The 23,893-nt window shown below is 38.1% G+C and overlaps 1 long non-coding RNA gene and 1 pseudogene across 7 annotated transcripts in view, besides 1 other annotated feature; one reads left to right on the top strand and one right to left on the bottom strand.

Moving 5' to 3' along the window:
- LOC105377979 (uncharacterized) overlaps window positions 1–23,893 on the bottom strand; it is a 288,164-nt gene that overhangs the window by 190,086 nt on the left and 74,185 nt on the right. For 5 of the 7 annotated variants that reach the window (XR_001744323.2, XR_001744324.2, XR_001744321.2 and 2 more), the window contains exon 1: window positions 7,490–7,677. The exons of 1 other annotated variant lie outside the window; for it this stretch is intronic. This is a non-coding gene — a long non-coding RNA (uncharacterized LOC105377979). Of the gene's footprint in view, window positions 1–7,489; window positions 7,678–23,893 lie in introns of those variants that run through there. One more of the 7 variants, XR_942936.3, reaches the window with a different exon arrangement.
- Window positions 6,673–7,320, top strand: HMGB3P18 (high mobility group box 3 pseudogene 18; annotated as a pseudogene).
- Window positions 15,640–15,934: a silencer, noted in NCBI's record as "tiled region #15426; HepG2 Repressive non-DNase unmatched - State 12:CtcfO, and K562 Repressive DNase unmatched - State 12:CtcfO". NCBI's record gives its function as "represses a minimal TATA promoter and a strong SV40 promoter by Sharpr-MPRA in HepG2 and K562 cells {active_cell/tissue: HepG2 | K562}" and the evidence as "EXISTENCE:reporter gene assay evidence [ECO:0000049][PMID:27701403]".

The following is a 23,893-nucleotide window of genomic DNA, read 5'->3' as shown; positions in this document are numbered from 1 at the left end:
CATCACCAATAATAAGTCATGTCTCCAGTCTAACCATGAGAAGAACGTCAGACAAACCTTTCTCTCTACTAAATAACTGATCACTGTTCCTTAAAACTTTCAAGACCACACACACACACACACACACACACACACACACACACACACACATATATATGTAGAGAGAGAGAGAGAGAGAGATCCCAGAAAATGAAACAAAAAGAACCTTGAAAAAAGATTAGACGAATTGCTCACTAGAGTAACCAGTTTAGAGAAGAACATAAATGAACTGATGGAGCTGAAAAACACAGCATGAGAACTTCGTGAAGCATACACAAGTATCAACAGCTGAATCAATTAAGCAGAAGAAAGGATATCAGAGACTGAAGATCAACTCAAAGAAATACAGTGAGAAGACAAGGTTATAGAAAAAAAGAGTGAAAAGAAACAATGACTCTGAGAAACATAGGACTATGTGAAAAGACAAAATCTATGTTTGATTGGTGTACCTGAAAGTAATGGAGAGAATGGAGCCAAGTTGGAAAATACTCTTCAGGATAATATCCAGGAGAACTTCCCCAACCTAGCAAGGCAAGCCAACATTCAAATTCAGAAAATACGGAGAACACCACAAAGATACTCCTTGAGAAGAGCAACCCCAAGACACATAATCATCAGATTTACCAAGGTTGAAATGAAGAAAAAAATGTTAAGGGCAGCCAGAGAGAAAGGTCAAGTTACCCACAAAGGGAAGCCCATCAGACTAATAGCAGATCTCTCAGCAGAAACCCTACAAGCCAGAAGAGAGAGGGGGCCAATATTCAACATTCTTAAAGAAAAACTTTTTGGACCAGTCACAGTGGCTCATGCCTGTAATCCCAGCACTTTGGGAGGCTGAGGTGGGCAGATCATGAGGTCAGGAGTTTGAGACCAGCCTAACCAACATGGTGAAACCCTGTCTCTACTAAAAATACAAAAATTAGCCGGGCATGGTGGCGCACACCTGTAATCCCAGCTACTCAGGAGGCTGAGGCAGAAGAATCGCTTGAACCCAGGAGGCGGATTTTGCGGTTAGCTGAGATCATGCCACTGCACTCCAGCCTGGGCCACAGAGTGAGACTCCATCTCAAGAAAGAAAAAAAAAAAAAAAGAATTTTCAAACCAGAATTTCATATTCAGCCAAACTAAGCTTCAAAAGCAAAGGAGAAATAAAATCCTTTAGAGTAAAGGAAATGCTGAGAGATTTTGTCACCACCAGGCCTGCCCTACATGAGCTCCTGAAGGAAGCACTAAACATGGAAAGGAACAACCGGTACCAGCCACTGCAAGAACATACCAACTTGTAAAGACCATCAATACTATGAAGAAACTGTAACAACTAATGGGCAAAATAACCAGCTAGCATCTTAATGGCAGAATCAAATTCACATACAACAATATTAACCTTAAATGTAAATGGGCTAAATGCCCCAATTAAAAGACACAGACTGGCAAATTGGACAAAGAGTCAAGACCCATTGGTGTGCTGTATTCAGGACACCTATCTGACATGCAAAGACACACATAGGCTCAAAATAAAGGGATGGAGAAATATTTACCATGCAAATGGAAAGCAAAAAAAGCATGGATTGCAATCCTAGTCTCTGATAAAACAGACTTTAATTCAACAAAGCTAAAAAGAAACAAAGAAGGTCATTACATAATGGTAAAGGGATCAATGCAACAAGAAGAGCTATCCTAAGTATATATGCACCCAATACAGGAGCACCCAGATTTCTAAAGCAAGTTCTTAGAGACCTACAAAGAGACTTAGACTCCCACATAATAATAGTAGGAGACTTTAACACCCTACTATCAGTATTAGACAGATCAATGAGACAGAAAATTAACAAGGATATCCAGGACTTGAACTCAGCTCTGGACCAAGCTGACCTAATAGACATCTACAGAACTCTCCACTCCAAATCAACAGAATATACATTCTTCTCAGCATCACATAATATTTATTCTAAAATTGACAACGTAATTGAAAATAAAACACTACTCAGAAAATGCAAAAGAACGGAAATCATAACAGTCTTTCAGACCACAGTGCAATCAAATTAGATCTCAGGATTAAAAAACTCACTCAAAACTGCACAACTACATGGAAACTAAACCACCTGCTCCTCAATAACTACTGGATAAATAATGAAATGAAGGCAGAAATAAAGATGTTCTTTGAAACCAATGAGAACAAAGACACAATGTGCCAGAATCTCTGGGACACATTTAAAGCAGTGTGTAGAGAGAAATTTATAGCACTAAATGCCCACAAGAGAAGGCAGAAAAGATCTAAAATCGACACCCTAACATCACAATAAAAAGAACTAGAGAAGAAAGCACAAACAAAATCAAAAGCTAGCAGAAGACAAGAAATACCTAAGATCAGAGCAGAACTGAAGGAGATAGAGACATGAAAGACCCTTCCAAAAATCAATGAATCCAGGAGCTGGTTTTTTGAAAAGATCAACAAAATAGATAGACCACTAGCCAGACCAATAAAGAAAACAAGAGAGAATAATCAAATAGATGCAATTAAAAATGATAAAGGGGATATCACCACCAATCCCACAGAAATACAAACTATCATCAGAGAATACTATAAACACCTCTATGCAAATAAGCTAGAAAATCTAGAAAAAAATGGATAAATTACTGGACTCATATACCCTCCCAAAACTAAACCGGGAAGAAGAAGAATCCCTGAGAAGGCCAAAAACAAGTTCTGAAATAGAGGCAGCAATTAATAGCTACCAACCAAATATAGTCCAGGACCAGACAGAGTCACAGCCGAATTCTACTGGAGATACAAAGAGGAGATGGTACCATTCTTTCTAAAACTATTCCAAACCACAGAAAAAGAAGGACTCCTCCCTAACTCATTTTATGAGGCCAGCATCATCCTGATACCAAAACCTGGCAGAGACACAACAAAAAAGGAAAATTTCAGGCCAATATCCCTGATGAAATCGATGTGAAAATCCTCAGTAAAATACTGGTAAAGATAATCCAGCAACACAGCAAAAAGCTTATCCACCACAATCAAGTCAGCTTCATCTCTGGGATGCAAGGCTGGTTCAACATATGCAAATCAATAAACGTAATCCATCAGATAAGCAGAACCAATGACAAAAACCACACGATTATCTCAATAGATGCAGAAAAGGCCTTTGATAAAATTCAACTGCCCTTCATGCTAAAAACTCTCAACAAACTAGGCAGTGATGGAATGTATCCCAAAATAATAAGAGCTATTTATGACAAACCCACAGCCAGTATCATACCGAATGGGCAAAAACTGGATTCCCTTTGAAAACCGGCACAAGGATGCCCCTTCTCACCACTCCTATTCAACATAGTGTTGGAAGTTCTGGCAAGGGCAATCAGGCAAGATAAAGAAATAAAGAATATTCAATTAGGAAAAGAGGAAGTCAAATTGTCTCTGTTTGCAGATGACATGATTGTATATTTAGAAAACCCCAAGGTCTCAGCCCATAATCTTCTCAAGCAGATAAACAACTTGCAGCAAAGTCTCAGGATACAAAATCAATGTGCAAACAATCACAAGCATTCCTATACACCAAAAATAGACAAACAGAGAGCCAAATCATGAGTGAACTCCCATTCACAATTGGTACAAAGAGAATAAAACACCTAGGAATACAACTTACAAGGGATATGAAGGACCTATCCAAGGAGAACTACAAACCACTGCTCACGGAAAGAAGAGAGGACACAAACAAATGGAAAAACATTCCATGTTGATGGATAGGAAGAATCAGTATCATGGAAATGGCCATACTGCCCAAAGTAATTTATAGATTCAATGCTATCCCCATCAAGCTACCATTGACATTCTTCACAGAATTGGAAAAAACTACTTTACATTTTATATGGAACCAAAAAAGAGCCTGCATAATCAAGACAATCCTAAGCAAAAAACAAAGCTGCAGTCATCACACTACCTGACTTCAAACTATACTACAATGCTACAGTAACCAAAACAGCATGGTATTGGTACCAAACAGATATACAGATCAATGGAACAGAATAGAGGCCTCAGAAACAATGTCACACATCTACCAACATCTGATTTTTGACAAACCTGACCAAAACAAGCAATAGGGAAAGGATTCTGTATTTAATAAATGGTGTTGGGAAAACTGGCTAGCCATATGCAGAAAGCTGAAACTGGATCCTTTCCTTACATCTTATACAAAAAATTAACTCAAGATGGATTAAAGATGGATTAAAGACTTAAATGTAGACCAAAACCCATAAAAACCCTACAAGAAAAATTAGGCAATACCATTCAGGACATAGGCATGGGCAAAGACTTCATTACTAAAACACCAAAAGCAATGGCAACAGAAGCCAAAATTGACAAAAGTATAATTTTAAAAATTAAAAAAAAGAATTTTAAAGTTAATAATGATTATGCTTTAATGAAATAGACACAAGATCACAATAATGAAAAACACATAAAAGATGATTCAAATTTAGTTTAAAATACACATGAACTAAAATTCAGGAGGAAATTTTCAAAATGTTAACATTTTTATCTCTGTGTGATGTGATTATGGATGACTTTTATGTCCTTTTTTCTATTTAGTTTCTTCCCCCACAGTAAGAATATTACTTAAATTAACAGAAAGCCAAAAAAAAAAAAAAAAACCACAATAAAAATGAGCTTAAAAGATGTGGTACTGAAAGATTTTTCTTTGAACAGTTGCACAAGCAAAGACAGTACTTAGTAGTAAAGCCTCTAAGGAAAAAGTGGACATCTCAGCACAGATGGCAGGATAAAAATGTAATATGGGGAGCACAAAAAATATGCAGACTGAATCAAAACAGAGACAATTCCCTTAGGTAGGTGGGCTTTTAAAAATTGGGCACAGAAACCATTTATCCATACCGGATCTTGCCCAGAAGCATTGAAAGAAAAACAATGGAAGACAATGGTGGAGGTTTGGGAAGAAGAGAATGAGAAGCCAATGCCCTGCTGCCTGCTACCCTTTATCCACACCTGCCTCTCTCCTCTGCCCCAGGGCCCCCAGCAGCAGGCTCTGCAGATGCATTAGGTCCAGGCAACACAATTTGAAAAATCAACAAAATCATCTTAGGTTAGATCTACTATCAATCACTCTCTAGTAAAGATGAGCTGGAAATTATCAGAATCCACAGTATAATCTTTGTGATTTACTACATAAGAAAATTTAAGAAAACTTATGCTATTCTCATGACACTAAAGCTTGGTTTATTAATTCTCCACAATTTTATTTGTCCTGTCTGTTAAAACCTTATTTAAAAAATATTATTCAGGGCCAGGTGCGGTGGCACATGCATGCCTGTAATCCCAGCACTTTGGGAGGCCAAGGTGGGCGGATCGCCTGAAGTCAGGAGTTTGAGACCAGCCTGGCCAACATGGTAAAACCCTGTCTCTACTAAAAATACAAAAATTAGCCAGGGGTGGTGTCATGCACTTGTAATCCCAACTACTCAGGAGGCTGAGGCAGGAGAATCACTTAAACCTGGGAGACGGAGGTTGCAGTGAGCCAAGATCGTGCCATTGCACTCCAGCCTGGGTGACAGGAGCAAGACTTCATCTCAAAAAAAAAAAAAATATTCAGCTGGCTGTGGTGGGGTGGCTCACACCTGTATTCCCAACACTTTGAGAGGCCAAGGCAGAAGGATTGCTTGAGTCCAGGAGCTCAAAAACATCCTGGGCAACATAGAGAGACCCCATCTCTACAAAAAATTAAAAAATTAGCCAGACATGGTGCTGTGCACCTGTGGTCCCTGCTACTCAGGAGACTGAGGTGGGAGGGAGGATTGTTGGACTACAGGAATTTGAGGCTGCAGTGGGCTATAACCACACCACTGCATTCTAGCCTGGGCAACAGTGAGACCCTGTCTCAAAAAAATAAATTTAAAAATTTATATATATATTATTCTAGCATTTATAGCTACTTGTTACTTATTATTATTATTAGCATTTATAGGTACTTGGCCTAGAAGGATGCTTTCTGATCGTTAGAGTTACCCAGAGTAAGAAAAACAGAAAGTATACATGTGAGTGAATCTGACAAAAGCTGTAGGACTGAGATGTCGAGTCAGTTTTGGCTTAAGCACACTTGGCTGTACTTGACATGAAAGGAAAAAGAGTTCTTCCTGTGTCTGGCCACAGTGAGCCTGGACAAGGTTGTATAATGATGGCAGCAATAAGAGCAGCAGCATGAACCCAGTCACATTGTATCAAAGCTGAGCTTAATCTAGCAACTGCAGCTGCAGTGAGCAGAGGCTTGGAGAGAACTCAAGCACTTGGTTAGATCTTACTTACTGAATCTATTAAAACTTTACAGAGATTTCAACAGCTGGCCTTTCCTCATTATGGTACCAATTGCTGCAGTAGAAATAAATGTGGACATCTCTCTCAATTGTATGGGAAACAATTGCTGCCCAATGTGTAACCATTAGCCACACCCTGCGATTAAGCTCTCAAATTTTGGCTAGTTTGAATTGAAGTGTAAAGTACACATCAGATTGCAAAGACTTAGTATAGGAAAAACATGTAAAATATCTCAATAATTTTCATATTGATTACATGTTGAAATGACTGTTTTGATATTTTAAGCTAAATAAAATATATTGGAACAATACACTCAGGATGGATAAAGTTGACCCGAAGGAACCAAAGGGCAAGATGTCTGCCTATGCCTTCTTTGTGCAGATGGGCAGAGAAGAACATAAAAAGAAAAATCTAGAGTTCCCTATTAATTTTACAGAATTTTCCAAGAATTGCTCTGAGAGGTGGAAGACGATGTCTGGGAAAGAGAAGTCTAAATTTGACGAAATGGCGAAGGCAGATAAGTACACTATGATTGGGAGATAAAGAATTAAGAACCAGCTAAGGGAGGCAAGAAGAAGAACCCTAACGCCCCCAAAAGGCCACCATCTGGATTCTTCCTTTTCTATTCAGAATTCTGCCACAAGATCAAATCCACAAACCCTGACATCTCTATTGGAGACATGTCAAAAAGCTGGGTGAGATGTGGAATAACTTAAATGACAGTGAAAAGCAGCCTTACATCACTAAGGTGGCACAGCTGAAGAAGTATGAGAAGGATGTTGCTGACTGTAAGTCTAAAGGAAAGTTTGATGGCCCAAAGGGTTCCACTAAAGTTGCCTGGAAAAAGGTGGAAGAGGACAACAAAGAAAATGAGGAGGATGGAAAATAAGGAGGAGGGAGAGGAGTAAAAAATTTAAAAAACTGTTTGTCTCCTTGTGAATACCTTAGAGCAACAGTCTCCAACCTTTTTGGAACCAGGGACCAGTTTTGTGGGACAGTTTTTCCATGGATGGGTTGGGAGATGGTCTTTGGGATGATTCACGCACAGTACATTTATTGTGCACTTTATTTCTATTATTATTACATTGTAATATATAATGAAATAATTATATGACTCACCATAACGTAGAATCAGTGGGAGCCCAGAGCTTGTTTTCCTTCAACTAGACAGTCTTTCTGGGGGTGATGGGAGGCAGTGACAGATCATCAGGCATTAGTTAGATTCTCATAAGAAGCAGGTAAACTAGATCCCTCGTATGCACAGTTTACAACAGGGTTTGCTCTCCTATGAGAGCTGCTGCTGATCTGACAGGAGGCGGAGCTCAGATGGTAATGTGAGCCATGGGGAGTGGTTGTAAATACAGATGAAGCTTTGCTCACTTGCCACTCACCTCCTGCTGTGTGGCCTGGTTCCTAACAGGCCACTGACTGGTATCTATCTATGGCCCAGGGGTTGGGGACACCTGCCTTGAAGTAGGGGAGAGCTGTAATTGACACATCTCTTATTTGAGAAGTATCTGTTGCCCTCATTAGTTTTAATTACAAAGTTTGATTATGATCATATTGTTGTTTCTCAAACTAGAAACTCTTTACATGAAGTGGTCAAGTGGGTCTAGAGCACCCTGAAACTATATCAAAGTTGTACATATTTCCAAATATTTTTAAAATGAAAAGGCAACTTCATGCTCTCCTCACTCTGTGTGCTTTGCTGTTAGTGTGATAAGGCATTTAAAGGTGCTTCTGGCATTTTTTTTTTTTTAATTTGTAAGGTAGTGTTAACTACATGGTTATTAGCTAGAAATCCTGAGTTATCAATTGCATATATCCATAGTTTGTAAAACGAACAAAACAACCAAGACAAACTCTTGATGCTCTTTGCTTGATGTTGAGGCTGTGGTAGAAGATGCCTCTGGGAGTGGCCGTAGCTCAGGCTGTGCACTGTGAGGCTGGGCCTGTTGACTATGCACTGGGCATCCATTTAGCTTCAGGTTGTCTTGTTTCTGTATCTAACCACATAGCATTCTGCTACCATTCCTAGCTGTGAACAAAAGGTGGTCAGCTGGCTTGAAAAGTATTTACTTTTTGTTTTTGCTTTTTTTTCAGTTAAGTGTGGTAGTTTTTAAACCATTTGTTTTTAAAGAAAGTGTAGAACATTTCATTGTCAACAAAGCGAAGAGCCACTGCATCAATGAAAGTTCAAGAACCTTCTGTACTTAAACATGATCTCCAACACTCTGTTTTTTTGTATGTTTAGAATGCTGAAATATTTTTAAAATTAAATAAACAGCATTACATTTTAATAATACATTACTAAAACTATTTTCAACATTTCTCTTACCTTTTTTTAAATGTGGATACTAGAAAATTTTAAATTACACATGTGGCTTATATTTAAGAAACTGGCATTAAGTTTCTACTGGACAGCACTGCTACAGAGCAAACAGAACTGGGACTGCTGTTGTTAGGCCCTCAGGTCTTATTTGGGATTTTTGCGGAGGGAGGATTCCTTGTTTTACGAATGGAGAGAACACAGCCCCATCCTTTTGAGTTCTTGACATTTCAACTGGGGTTTATGTTTCTTTGTGAAAGCAGGAAATACCAGTTACATTCCATAATAAATGATGGAGATGTGGACTAACCCAAAAATGAACACAGAGTGAGCCTTTTGTTGGCTTGTGCAATGGTTAGAAACTGCATTGAGTCTTTTGATCAAACCAATTCTGTTTTCTTGCCCATATGAAAAGGAGAAAATTATTTAAACAGATTTCAAAAAAGGAATGTGGATATTGACCATCAAAATGAGCCTAGGAATGCACCATATCATTGACAGCTAGTCTGAACTTTTATCTAGGGATATGTCCTCTTTTATTTAGGTCTAAACTTCTATGCAGAATACTTTTCTCTGAAATTGAAGATTAATCTTCTGAAGCCTATGAATTCTAACATAGCATTAAATTACATATTTCTTCAAGAGTGTCTTCATTCATCATTTACATATATTTTGAGAGTCTGAGTAACATGACAGTAGATTCTAAGATGGAGTTTACATTATACAGTCCCATACTTCAAGGGCCTTAGCATTTTCATTTGTTTATTCAACAGATATTTATTGAGCACTTACTATGTGCCAGGCAGTCTACCAGGCATTAGGGGTGCAATAGGAATCAAAAATAGAATAAGATCACTGATCTACAAATTACAGCCTACTGTGGGAGGTAGACATTTATCAAATAATCACATGTGAGAGATCTCAGAAGCAGGGAGCAGGGAGAATTCAAAGCTCAAGTGGAAGGATGAATTGTAGACAGGAGGAAGTACGGCTCCTCCGAATGTAACAGGAGAAGTGATTCCCCGAATCCAGTTGGCTGCAAAACAAGTTAATGTGTTTGATATAAAGTGTGTGAGAAGAGAGCAAAACTAGCTGGAATGCTTAGTATATTATTTTATAACTCATCATCTAGGCATGGCTAGTTACTCAAGGTAAGGTTTAATTTAAGATAATGTCCGGGATTTAGAAATAGACTCATCTGTTAGTAAATTGCAGCTTTGGGGTGGCAGGACACATCAATAACAGTAGAAGGAGATACTTGGCAGTAGAGACAGGCTTGTCATCACCATCTAGGAAATCTATAATGTACAAAGACTGGGCTTCTGTACTGGCAGAAACCCTTCAGCAGGTCTAAGCAGCAAGGCAGGATAACATTGCAAAAACTCAAAACATAGGTCAAGATAGAATTCTAGTATCTTGAATTGAGCATACAGAATGTGAGGACATGGGGAGTTGGAGGACAGAGATAATGACACTCAAGATAAAAACTCAGGTTTAGGAGTATTCTTATCAGAAATATTCAGGAAAAAGCCTTTATTTGGAGAACACTGTGGCAGTCCAGTGGCCAGGACTGGCCATAACCTGGGGTAGATTAGCAAGTGTAATCAGTGCTGCAATACCATGGGCAGGATTAGCCTGTTAGGGAGCAAGGCTTACTCCCAAGTTCCCCAAGGATGTGGAACTTTAAATAGGTTTTGAAGGAGACTCGTGATTTAGAAAGTTCGAGGTTGGTAAGAATGGTCAATGCCATGTGTAATAAATGCATTGTCACTTATATTCTTATAACATTTGTAATATCTCATATATAAATATATTTGTAATATAAAACATACAATATAGGGTTTATATTTTTAATATACAAATCAAGATTGTAAAATATATAGTTTATATTTTCTAAATATGTATTTTCTAAACCATATATATACACATACATAGCTTAATAAGTATTCAAATTTGGAGTAAAAATTATTCATAAAGGCATTTTAATAATTTTAAAATTATTCATTATTATTAGGGTAATTTTTGATAACACAGCTATCACTAGTTTAATGATACATCTTCCTTAGCTATGATTTTACACACAAAAGACTTCTTCAGTAAAGTGAAGTTCTTTAGGTAACTGGGGATGCTGTGAGGCACCCAAGAGTGGAGATTCATCCTGTTGCCCCCATCCCATTTTCAACTCTCCCACTGCTCTCCACCCACCACGCATTAGCAAAGTACACTGGACCTTTGTCATAAGCCTCTTCACAGGGGTATGAAAGCCAGAGGGAGAGAGAAAGAGGATGAGAGGGAGAAGGGTATATTAACCATGTCGCCTGCTTCTGTAAGCTTGATGCTTTATCTATCCTACATGCATATGCCAGATACATCAAATTCTGGACAACCTGATAATATGCCTGAGTCATCTTGCCTTAGCCTCCTGCCTCCTTTGTCCCCGCTCTTGTCAAAGGGGTTTCTCCTCCCCAGTGGCACACTATTCAAATACAAATGAACCAATTCAGAGTCTATACCCTCAACCACCTCCCTTATCTCACACTCCAAGCCACTATACACCTGCTGAAATTCACCCCAGGGCTAGATGCCAGACAACTAGGGACAACCCCCATACCCCAGAACTTGCTGGAATTTTCAAGCTCTCCCATTCTAAGCCTGATTGCCCTGCCTTGCCCATTTTCCCCATAGAAACTATGGTGAAGGCTCGTGGGCACCAGTTTTCCCCTCTCCCTCTGCTTTGGGACCAACCCTGGCGCTTCCCTATGCGGCCTCTGTGGCATGACCTGTACTCCTTCTCTTGGGATCTGAGAGTATAATAAACTACCTTTTCAATGGCAGTTATCTCCTGGTCTGTTGGTTTTACTATGCCTTAATAGCAATAAAGCCAAAAGGAGATAGGAAGAAGGACAAGGGGCATAGTTAATGACTGATTCTAGTTACTTTAGTTGATAATCTGCATGTTATCTGCTGTTGCACCTGAGCAGGGCAAGACGGTTGTCTCCCCTCAAAGTCACAAAACAACAGATCCAAGAAGTTCAGAGGACACCAACCAGGATGAGCATAAAAATATTTATACTTTGATATATCACATTCAAGATGCAGGAAAACAAAGACATAAAGCTAAATCCTGAAATAGAATGGAGTGAAGGACTAAGGAAAATTCTCAGGCATCTCTGTGGGTGGCACCTTTGAGATAGAAAAAACAGGTGAGAAAAGCTTCCATGCTGAATTCAGCCCTACATTCTTTCTTATTTCTCTATAACCTTCTCCACAGAATCTGCCAGTACCCAGATCCAGGCTTTATTTGAAAACTGGATTCCTACATCAATGTTTTCCTTAAATCTGATGAATTCATTTTTTCATTTTCCTCTTCTTATACAGCTTGAGTACTGCTCCATAACACTTTTTAAAATATTACTAGCTGGACACAGTGGTTCACGCCTATAATCGCAAAACTTTGGAAGGCTGAGGTGGGAGGACCACTTGAGCTCAGGAGTTCAAGACCAGCCTGGAAAACATAGGGAGACTCCATCTCTCCATAAAAAAATTAAAATTAAAAATTAGCTATTCATGATGGTGTGTTCCTGTAGTCCCAGCTACTCAGGAGGCTGAGGTGGGAGGATTGTTTGAAGACAGGAGTTCAAGGCTGCAGTGCTATGATTGGGCCACTGCACTCCAGCCTGGGTGACAGTGAGAACCTATCTCAAAAATAATAATAATAATAAAAATAAAAATAATATCACTTCTAGGTTTTGTTTTTTTCCTCTGTCACTGATTTTTTACTCCTTTGGGTACTAAAACATTTTTAAATAATAAGGTAATGTGGTTTTCTTGCAGAAGACTAAGAAAGTTGAAACAAAGTCATCTATGATCCTATAGTCCAAAGTTATCCACTGTTAGAAAGTGATGTTTTCCAGTGTATTTCTCTGTCTAGACATGACCATACCTCTTCTGTCTCGAAGTGTAACACATGCTATTTTACACCTCTGAAATACTCTTTCCTCCCATTTTATGTGCTTTCAGCAACAGTAGCGGAGCATGGTGGTATGAACTAAAAAGAGCTATCACCTTGGCACATAATACAGGACACCCCTATGGCCTGGCATGTATATATAACAGCGAGAATACCTCAGCGATGGCACACACCCACTGTCCATCAATCTGCAGGCTCAGGTCTTAACATCAACATTGTGTGCCAGGGAACAGCAATGGCAGAAGCAGTCTAATTGGGCAGATAGTTTCCTTTCTGTTTAGTGTTGGAATCAGGACAAGTGTCACCCTTCCTAGGGTTCTTGGATTTTTCTTCTTCTTCTTTTTTTTTGTTTTTTTTGTTTTTGTTTTTTTTCTTCTTCTTCTTTTTTTTGCCTAGCAGGGAAAGCGAAGTTGGGTCTTAAAGAAAGATATCATTTTATTTTGTTTTGTTTTGTTTTCTAAAAAGAGGTACAGGGGAGTAAATGATTGATTGGTGGAGGTAGGGTGGAGATGACTATATTATAACCATATTTGTGTCCTTAACTTTGAAACAAGTCATGCCGGTTCCTAGTCTGTGCATGCTCTTGTATCTGTAGGATGCATTTTTAAAAGCCAAATGACTATCCCATCAAAACCTAAGCCAAGTGCGATTTTGCCTAGTTTTGCCTTTAAAAACAAAACAGATTTTTCACTACTTTCCAATGCAAGCACTAGCTTAATAAACTAGCAAAAATTGGGAGACTTCCTTTCTTTCTTCAAATGCTTCTTAACTTCATTTATTCATCTGGGCTAAATTTTTTGTGACTTTTAGAATTACAAAAGAAAACACATAACCCTTCATTAAACAGACTCACCAAATAACACTTCAATCAAGAATAAAGCCAGTATTATGGTAAACAAGCCATGATATATAATATGCCTAATTAACTTCAGTAGATGCAATTATAAAAGATCTCTTTCATAACTCTGGTTGATAAATGAAATGGACAGTTTTCTATAAAGAGGCTACAAAAAAATAAATAAAATTTAAAAAATTTTAATAACTGTCATTGTGGAAGGAAAAACCACAAGATATTAGAACTCTTTAATAGAGCCTCTTGTTTTCTAGTGAATTTTCACAACTATATTGCCTTTTTTGTAAGCTGTGATAGTATAACTTATTTTACCCCGAGGCTATCACAGTAAAAAGGATACTTTTTTTCTCATGAAAAAGTACAACACAGCTAAGATTTTCATGGTGTACCTAGTCGTACACTAAAAAAAAAAAAAAAAAAAAAAAATCATGTTCTTAATTATCTACAATTCTAGGAAGAAAAGCAACTACTGTGATTACTCAGGGAACAGAAAATCCTCTCCGTGTTCCTTCTAAACAACATTGCATAAGATATAAAGAAGAAAACATCTATTTTATTTTGAAATAAGTATCAAAAGAGCTTGCCTGGTGGGATTATAAAAGAGTTCAGTTGGGCTGAGAGTTGCTTAAGCTGGAAGTGCCACACTGCTAGGGAGGGAAGAGAAAGAACAGCAATCCTTTCAGAGGACTACAGGGCAGTGCTGTGAGCCTGAGAGGCTGCATTCAGCTACTGGCTGAAACAAAGGCAGAGCCAGAGCCACACTCTTAAGTGGAGGGAGAGTGAATAAAGAAAATGCCTGGCATTCAAAAGCTGCCTCTCAACTGGGATTCAGGATTGTCCTTTTCGGTTTCCAGGCATCAAGGAATCTACAAATGTTTGGAAAATATGTATACTTTTGAGGTGAGCTGAATATGGCTGGGACTTCTGCTTATCTGGTCTTCAATCTCCAATCTCCTCAATTAGAAGAGGAAAAATAAAACAGACAGAATGAAAAAGATTGCCAAGAGGGAAGTTTCCGCTTTAAAAAAAAAAAAAAAATATATATATATATGGATTGTAATAGAGGTCAAAACTGAGCTTGAACCTCCAAAGTATTGGGATAAGGCTGTGCACTGTGGCTCATGCCTGTAATCCCAGCACTTAGGGAGGCCAAGGCAGGAGGATTTCTTGAGACCAGGAGATCGAGACCAGCCTAGGCAATAAGTGAGACCTCATCTCTACAGAAAATTTAAAAATTATCAAGGTGTGGCTGCACTGGCCTGTAGTCCCAGATACTGAGGAGGCTAAGGCAGGATAATCTTTTGAGCCCAGGAAGTTAAGGCTACAGTGAGCTGTGATTGCACCACTACACTCCAGCCTGGGTGACAGAGTGAGATTTTGTCTCCAAAAAAAAAAGCAAGAAAGAAAAAGAAAGAAACAAAGAAAGAAAAGAAACAATGGTAGGTGTGCTCCTGATTTTGTTCAGTGTTGCCCAATAACAATCCCTTGTTGAAGTCTTGCCCATGTCTACCTCTGCCATAAGACTTTCCCAGGCATCTCAGCTCAAAGTGATCTAGATTCATAGCACTTATTGCTAGTATTGCACATATGGCACCAAATACTTATGGCCTTGAATTTTCATTGGGATATGTTGGATTCGAATTGACTTTGAAATATTCTAAAGGAGAATTCCAGCAGAAAATTGTGAGCTTAAGTCTGTCACTCAGGAAGGGTGCAGTCTAGAGATATAGAGCTATAAAGGTGAAAATCTTCAGAAAATAGGTGGTAACTGAAACCAGAAGAAAGAACAGGTGTACCTAAATAAAGGTCTGTAAAATGAGGAAAGAAAGTTCGAAAAGAATTCTTAAGAACGTCATTACTTAAGAAGTACATAGTAGAAAAATTAGTGAAAGATAATTGTAAGACGTCAGAACGAATGGTTAAGATGGAAGAAAGAATGGTTGCTTTATGCGGGCTTTTAGTTTCCCCAAAGAGCGAGGTATTGTATTGGTGATTTTTGCATTTTCCAGAACACCTATCATAATTTCATGCATGTAGTATGCCCTCAATATTTATTGAACAAGACGTGAGGAATAAATATATATAAATATTGTTCTTAGTTCTCCTTTGATTGTTCTTTTCTTAGCATCAGCAACACCAGTACCACTCCTATTCCAGCGTATTTATCTCACCTTTCAGAAGATACTGAGTAACAGCAGGGGGCCTGTTAATGGAGGACTCTGACCTCTAGGGGGAGCTCAAGGAGAGGAATACTGAATGAGGGTCCAGACACAGTCCTCACTGGGTCATTGTAGTAGCAGATCGAGCTTTGGGTGAATTAGGAAGGGCTAAGAAGGCCCTGCTTCCACATAGCTCAATCTTTAGTTCTTTTGAAATCATACCTCTCTTTAAATGTCACATGACAGTAAGCGGATCTAGGCTTAAGTCCCACGTGGAAAAACTTTCCTAACATGGACAACCTAAACAAAATTCCAGATAGGATCTATGGGTTAAAGTAATGGCCAAAAAACTATATATAGCCACTGAAATGTTTGGCCCAAGGTGTGTGCGTACGTTCAATAATTTGAATAACTTTGGAACAGGCATAAATGTACCACTCTGCCACAGCCCTAACACTTCTTTCATCTAATACCTGCCCCACTTCACAAATTTGTTTCTTACCTTGTTGGTCTATATAGGAATTTGAATTTGCAAATATTGTTTAAATTTATAAAAGTATATTTTTCCAGGTTACATTCTCCAAACTTTCATGGTTAAGATGTAAGTGTTCAATGTCTCCTAAATTCCTGCATTCCTCACCAGAAAAACAACAAATTGAATTCCTTTCTCTGAAGACTTGTTTGATTCCACATAGGGGAGCTTGGCAGAACAGGCAGATGATTGTGTGCACAGGCCACAGAAATTGCGCAGTCTGTCCTAACTCTTTTGCTTTGGGGTTCTTTAACTTCCCTTATTGTATCTACCTCAGCAGAGTTGAAATTATGGGAGTATCCCTCTTGAAGAGAATAAATCTGAATCCTTCTTTTGGTTGTGAATCACTATTGTCACCAAAAATGCAATAGAAAAGACAAATAAGAGCTGAAAACAAAGTATCCAGGACTACGTGTGGGTCCAACCTTGTTTTTCTTACACTTGAAAAGAAAATAAAGTGTACTGAAGTGAAAGCCCTTCTCCATAGTTCTATGATCAGATCCAAGGCAGGAGACTTCACATCTCGCACAAATGAGTGTTCCAAAGCAGGAGGGATTAGACAACCACCACGAAGCCGGCACACTGCCACTGGGCTGGATTTCCCAGGGTAGGAAAAAATCTCTTCTGCTATCCTAAAAGCACAAATATTTCAAGTCTCACCATGGGTAGCCAAGAAAATAGAGTAGAAAAGAGTCTTCCAAACCGTAAACCACCTATTTGTTTGAGGCATATTTTACAAGCTCAAGGAATCCACTGTTTATCTTATCAATACAATCAGAAAAACAATTCAAGAAATGTCTACCATATGTTGGGCTCTGCACCTGCACAGAGGTATAAGACAAGGACTCTGCCTTCAAAAGCAGATAGTCTAACATTGCTGGCAAATGTGGGTGGATTTCCTGTCTCCAGCCTGATCTACAGCAGTGTTTTGTTTTGAAATCCATTTACTTGAGAGCATTATGAACCAATTCATTGGTCGTAAGCTCTATAGTAAGAATAACATATAATATTAGTTCCCAGGTATGAGACATTCCAGGCATATTTTATAAGGGTGATTTTCAGGGTCCCATGGCAAAGATTTTAAATGGATTTGATCAAAAGTCAAAAGGAGCCTTTTCACATGCTCTTGCTAAGGAACTTGGCATTGCGACTGTACCTAATTGAAATGCTTTGTTGGCTGAAGTGTGCTGGCTTCACGCCCAATCACAGGACCCCTTGGAACAATTAGTAAGGCCATTAGTTTGCATGCCTAATCCCAAGTGACCTTGTATGAGTCTCCCCCTGTCTTGGGATTTGCAGGTCCCATGGTTCAGTCCCACGGGAGAGTGAGATGTTAATCCTGCTCTTTTCTCTCTCTCATCCTTACAGATTGCCACAGGCCACTGACTGTCCTATAAATGGAGATTGAGTCTTTTTTTTTTAACTACTTGACAGTAAAGCCTACATCAGAACATGTTAAAACTACAGGTGTTATTAACTTTGAACATCAATCTCACTATAATTTTTACTTTTGGCCTTGATAATAACACCTTCTCCCTTTTTATTTACTTTTTATTTTATTTTAATTTTTTGAGGCAGGATCTCATTATATTGCCCAGGCTGGAGTTCAGTAGCTCAAATACAGCTCACTGCAGCCTTGACCTCCCAGGCTCAACTGATCCTTGTGCGTCAGCCTCCCATGTAGCTGGAACTGCAGGTGCATGCCACCATGCACAGCTAATCTTTTTATTGTTTTGTAGAGACAGTCTCACTCTGTTGCCCAGGCTAGTCTCAGACTCTTGGGCTAAGTGATCCTTCTGCCTCGGCCTCCCACAGTGCTGGGATTATCATAGCATTGGGATTACAGGCATGAGCCATTATACCTGGTCTCCCTCCCTTTTTAAAAGAAGCTTTATTAAGACATGCCTCAACTATAGTTGGTCTAAATGCTATAAATTAATTTTAATTTTTCATTAATTATTTCTTCTTATTAAAGTCTTATTACACATTGGATTTGTACTTTTAGTGGCTGCAGAGTGACTAACCAAGTGAAGTAACTAAATGTCTTAAATACGCCTAGTGTATTACTTAATCCCTCAGAAAGTAACTTTATATTTTTGTCTTTAATAAAGCAAAAGCAGGCTGGGCACAGTGCTCACATGTGTAATCCCAGCACTTTTGGAGTCCAAGGTGGGTGGATTGCTTGAGCCTCAGGAGTCTCAGACCTGCCTGAGGAACATGGCAAAATTCCATCTCTACTAAAAATACATACGTTTACATTAGCTGAGCATGGTGACACACATCTGTAATCCCAGCTACAAGGGAGACTGAGGCACCGGCATCACTTGAACCCTGGAGGTTGCAGTGAGCTGAGATCATGCCACTGCACTCTAGCTTGGGTGACAGAGGGAGACTCCATCTCAAAAAATACATAAATAAATAAAAAATTAAAAAGCAAAAGTGAAACAGAGAAACAAACAAAAAGACCAATACAGAAGCCTTTAAAAGCAATTTTAAAAAGTTTTCTATAAGTAAAAGTAAATCCTGGGCCAATATAAATTATCTAAACCTCATTCCTCTATTGTTACGGACTGGCTTTGACAATTCCCTCTGGCCAAATTATTTCCAGTTCTATAGAAAATAGTTTTAGAAAATTAACTTAGAAGAAGCAGAGGAAACAGTTCTCAAAATAAATGTGTATGATTGTATAAGATAATTAGCAGACGCATTGTAGTAAAATTGTAGGTTCAAAGTGACGGGAGCTGACTTTAAAACAGGGTTCTCAAGGATCTCTTTGATGAGAAAATTCTCTCTCCCTGAAGCCTGATGGGGGTTAGAGAAGTTTGACTCACTATTTTCCTTCTGGGAACTGAATGGAGCCATGTGATAGTGACCACTGGCATAGAGATTCGCTGCCATAAATTTCAGATATGGATATGAACTGTCATGAATTAGACCTGTTTAAAACTTGTGAGGAAGGGGTCCCAATTTAAGATCAACTGGGAAGCATGGGTTTGAGAAGAAAAAAGTGAAAATTATGTCATGATATTTCAAGTAGAATTAAAATTACTGGTTTCCATGAACACGTCTTTCTTAAAAATATATTTAAACATTTATTTAACCTGAAACAAACGCAGAAATGGCAGGTACTTTATTTTCCTGCAACAAATAACCACAGTTTTCCCTGCAATATTCAAAACTCATTATTTGTGCAATAGCTGGTAGACTTACTTCACTTAGAACCCCCTTCACTCCCCAATCTGCTAATAGAACCCGACTTGTTCCCCACTCTTTGCCCCACCTTCCCCCACCTGTAAAGGGCTAAGTTTGAACCAAATACGGGTCACGAAGACCTGTACATCATTAGAGAGACTTCATATTACTAGCTCCAAAAGCCTAGCTTTGTAGCCAAGTTTCTGTGGTCTACATGCATCAATCTTTGCTATTTGTAATACAAATTAAGTATTGTTCTTATTTTAGTGCTAAATTTTAAAAGATGTCTCAGTTTGGTAGAAAAAAATCAAATCAAAATCAGTAAGGAAAATCTAGTTTCTTTATTGAAATGGACATAGGAGAAACTAACTAAATGCTTATTGAATGTTAAAAAACAAAAAAGCTAAATAATACCATAAATGTTTTCTCCTTTTGGGTAATATAATCAGGAGTAGTAACATAAGAAAGACTCTATAGAAGAATAACATTTGCTGATATTTGTGGTATATTATATCATGAGATGCTTGCAGATATGGTGAAAACTAGGACATTGTTCAAATAGCCAATTAATTTAATATGTAAAAGGATTTTCTGCTTTTAGTGTAATATTTTGGGCTTCTTCTTTTTTAAAAATTTCATAAACTACCTTTCCAAGAGTTGGAACATTACATCAGAAAAAAATACATAAATTAAACTCTGGTGTATTACTTATTAACAAATAGCCTAATAGTGAAAATTTTCCTTATAAAGATTGCATCTTGAGTTTTTCATAGAAAGTCTAATATGTCTTTAGTCACAGATGTGTATTCCCTATGGACAAAAAGCAGGCAACATGTTTCTGAGCACCTTTTATCGGTTCTGACACATCATTACTCCTGCTTCTTCAGAAGTACCAGAGGATGTGAATGAATGCGCCCTACCTCACTATAATTAGTGGCCTTATCTAATAAAGGTACTAGGTTTCTCTATCTGGGCTCACAGCATATTTGTTGAAGGGAAGGGTGGGGTACTGTCATCAAGTTGGTTTACAGATCACGGCCACCCTGTACTATTTTAGAGATTTCAATTCACTGATATTCAAGGTGACAAAAATGAAAACCATTGGTTTGGATTTTTAGTAACAACACATGAAAAGTGCTGTTAAATACATAATAAACTATAAGAACATCTGAAATAGTCAATTGTTTTTATGAGGCTATGAAAAGTAAACCAGAAAAAAAAAAATAGCAAATACACTCAGTTTTTGCAAAGTCTAAATACATAAACTTTTAAAAAATATTTTCTTTTCTTTTGAGACAGGGTCTTGCCCTGTAACCTAGGTTGGACTGCAGTGGCACAATTATGGCTCACCACAGCCTTGAACCTCCAGGGTCAAGTAATACTCCCACATCAGCCTCCCAAGTAGCTGAGGCTACAGGCATGCACCATATGCCTGGAAAGTCTTTAAAAAAATTTATTGCAGAGACAGGGATCTCGCTATGCTGCCCAGGCTGGTCTTGAACTGCTGGCTTCAAGCAATCCTCCTGCTTCATCCTCTGAACGTGCTTGGATTACAGGCATGAACCACCACGACCAGCCACATAAACCTTTTGATAACCTACCTGAGGTAGGTCTATTTTCTTGTACCACACTCACAGAACTTTTAGTTTGGGACTTCCTGTTTCTGCATCATGGTTATTATTGTCACTCTTCCTCATGAAATTTCTTCCTAACTCTTTTACTCTTGTCACTGCTTTCAACTTTTCTGACTCATCTCAAATCCCATCCACAGACAGTGAACTAATGTTCCTAAAGCCCTCAAACTTGAACTTCTGGATGCTTGCTCTTACTCCAATGACAGCAACACGGTATTCAACAGATCCCCCTGCGCCCACCCCAGCTTCTTCTCTGTAGAAGATTAGAAGATTTTATAGGAATACAGTAGTCACTAGCCACATGCGATTATGGAGCCCTAATCTGCATTATGATGTGTATACTATCTATTGTACATATGAGCAATATATGTGACTACTCTATATTGAGAATGTGGCTTAATTATATTGTATATATTGAGTATATTACTATGTGCTGTAAGTTGTAGGATGACTATAGTTAACAATAATATATTATGTAATTTCAAATAGCTAGAAGGAGGATATTGAATGCTCCCAACACAAAGAAATGAGGAAGGTTTTAGATGGATATACAAATTATCCTGACCTGATTACTATATAGTGCATGTATTAAAACATCACTATGTATCCCAGAAATATGTACAATTATTAAATGTCAATTTTTAAAAAAGAATTTTTTGGAGTGATACAGCTGTTCTGTATCCTTCTTTTATGGATGATTACATGATTCTATACATATGTTAAATTTACAGAACTGTATACCAGGATGGGCATGCTGGCTCATGCCTGTAATCCCAGCACTTTGGGAGGCTGAGGTGGGAGGATTGTTTGAGCTCAGTTCAAGGCCAGCCTCAGCAACATGGTGAAACCCTATCTTTACAAAAAATATAAAAATTAGCTAGGTGTAGTGGCACACGCCTGTAGTACCAGCCACTTGTGAGGCTGAGGTGGGAGGAGTACTGAGCCTAGGGAGGTCAAGGCTTCAGTGAGCCTTGATCACACCACTGCACTCCAGCCTGGGTGACACAGTGAGACCCTGTCTCAAAAAAAAAAAAAAAAAAAAGAACAACAACAAAAAATCTTACTGTTTCAACTTAATGAAAAATTATTTTATTAATCAAGTTGATTAAAAAAAAAACTTTAAGCCAGGCACGGTGGCTTACACCTGTAATCCCAGCACTTTGAGAGGCTGAGGCAGGCAGATCACAAAGTCAGGAGTTCGAGACCAGCCTGACCAACATGGTGAAACCCCATCTCTACTAAAAATACAAAAATAAGCCGGGCGTGGTGGCATGTGCCTGTAATCCCAGCTACTCAAGAGGCTGAGGCAGGAGAATCGCTTAAATCCAGGAGATGGAGGTTGCAGTGAACCGAGATCACACCACTGCACTCCAGTCTGGGTGACAGAGCGAGACTGTCTCTAAATAAATAAATAAATAAATAAAACTTCAAAAAGAAAAGTAATGACGTGATGTATATACACCTGTACTAGATTTTGATTAGTATTCAAAAAGTAACATATCTCAATGATTTTAATATTAATTTTTAAATATTAATTACATGTTGAAATGAAAACATTTTCAATATATTGGCTATATTAATTATATTAATAAAGCTATTTTTACTTGTTTATTTTCATTTTTTAAAATGTGGCTACTAGGAAGTTTAAAATTAGCTATGTGACTCACATCATATTTCTATTGGACAGCACCGGATTCGAATATGAATCCCTGGAGACTACATCCCTATAGTTTCAAATAATCCTTCCTGATTCTGAATCCTTTTGATATTTGCGGCTCATGTTTTCACTTGGACTTTTCGTCTCTACACAGTCGGCTACTTCTCATGTCCACCTTGTAAGCTTTAGAGGCCTTCTTAAACTTATATTTTTGTATTCAATAAGCATGTATTGAACGACTATTTGGTTCCAGGGAGTCTGTCAGAAACTGTAGGTAAATTGGAGGCTGGATTATATTCTGGAAACTGCAGGTGCCTCCCTGTGACTAGAGATAAAGATGCAAGAAGGAAGGTGATAAGATACAATGCAGCCAAGGCAGAGGAACCCCATCAGGAAATGGCTTGTGTGAAACTATGGAGTTCAGCTTTTATCCTGAAGGCAGTAGGTTGTCATTGAGAAGCTTTAGATGAGAGAGTGACATACTCAGGTTTACTTTTTAAGAAAAATCAGATTACAACACAGCAACAAAAGAATTAAATAGCTGTCACAACAATAAAAACATTAAAAGCTTGAATGTAAGCAGTGGCAATAAGGATATCTAAATTTGGATTTAAAGGATGTACAGAGTATAAAAGATATAGAACATGTTAACTCTTTAGATATGGAAAGTAAGAGAATGGAATAGGTCAAGGATAAGAACCTGCCTGAAAATTCTGGTTTGGAAAATTCAGAATGTGCAGATTGGGGAAACATACATTTCAAGTGTGATACATTAAATCTGGGCTTCTGAGAGGGCACACAAATGGAACTACAAGTAGTCAAAGGATATAAAAGTAGGATAAGCAGAATGAAACTCTGGATCAGAAGTATAAATGGTATCAAAACTTAGGAGTTCAGAAAAATCAACTTGTGATAGAATGAAAACTGACAACACAAACTCTGGAGAACTTTTTTTGTGAAATACTAAAAATAAAATACTTAAGGTTCTATATCTAAATACATTTGTACAAGAAAAAGCCCAGAAGGCTATATGTTAAAATGTTAGCAGTAGTTGCTTCTGAGGGTGGGGTTATGAATAAAGTTTCTTTTATTTTTTGGCTTGGTATTATCTTCTAAATTATCTATAAGATACATGTATTAGTCATGATACTTTCCATGTTTGAAGCCATGTGTCTTCAAACAATACAGAATGCATAC

This window comes from Homo sapiens, chromosome 6 (assembly GCF_000001405.40).
Source record: "Homo sapiens chromosome 6, GRCh38.p14 Primary Assembly".
NCBI lineage: Eukaryota > Metazoa > Chordata > Mammalia > Primates > Hominidae > Homo > Homo sapiens.
This window is presented reverse-complemented; position numbering and strand designations above follow the sequence as displayed.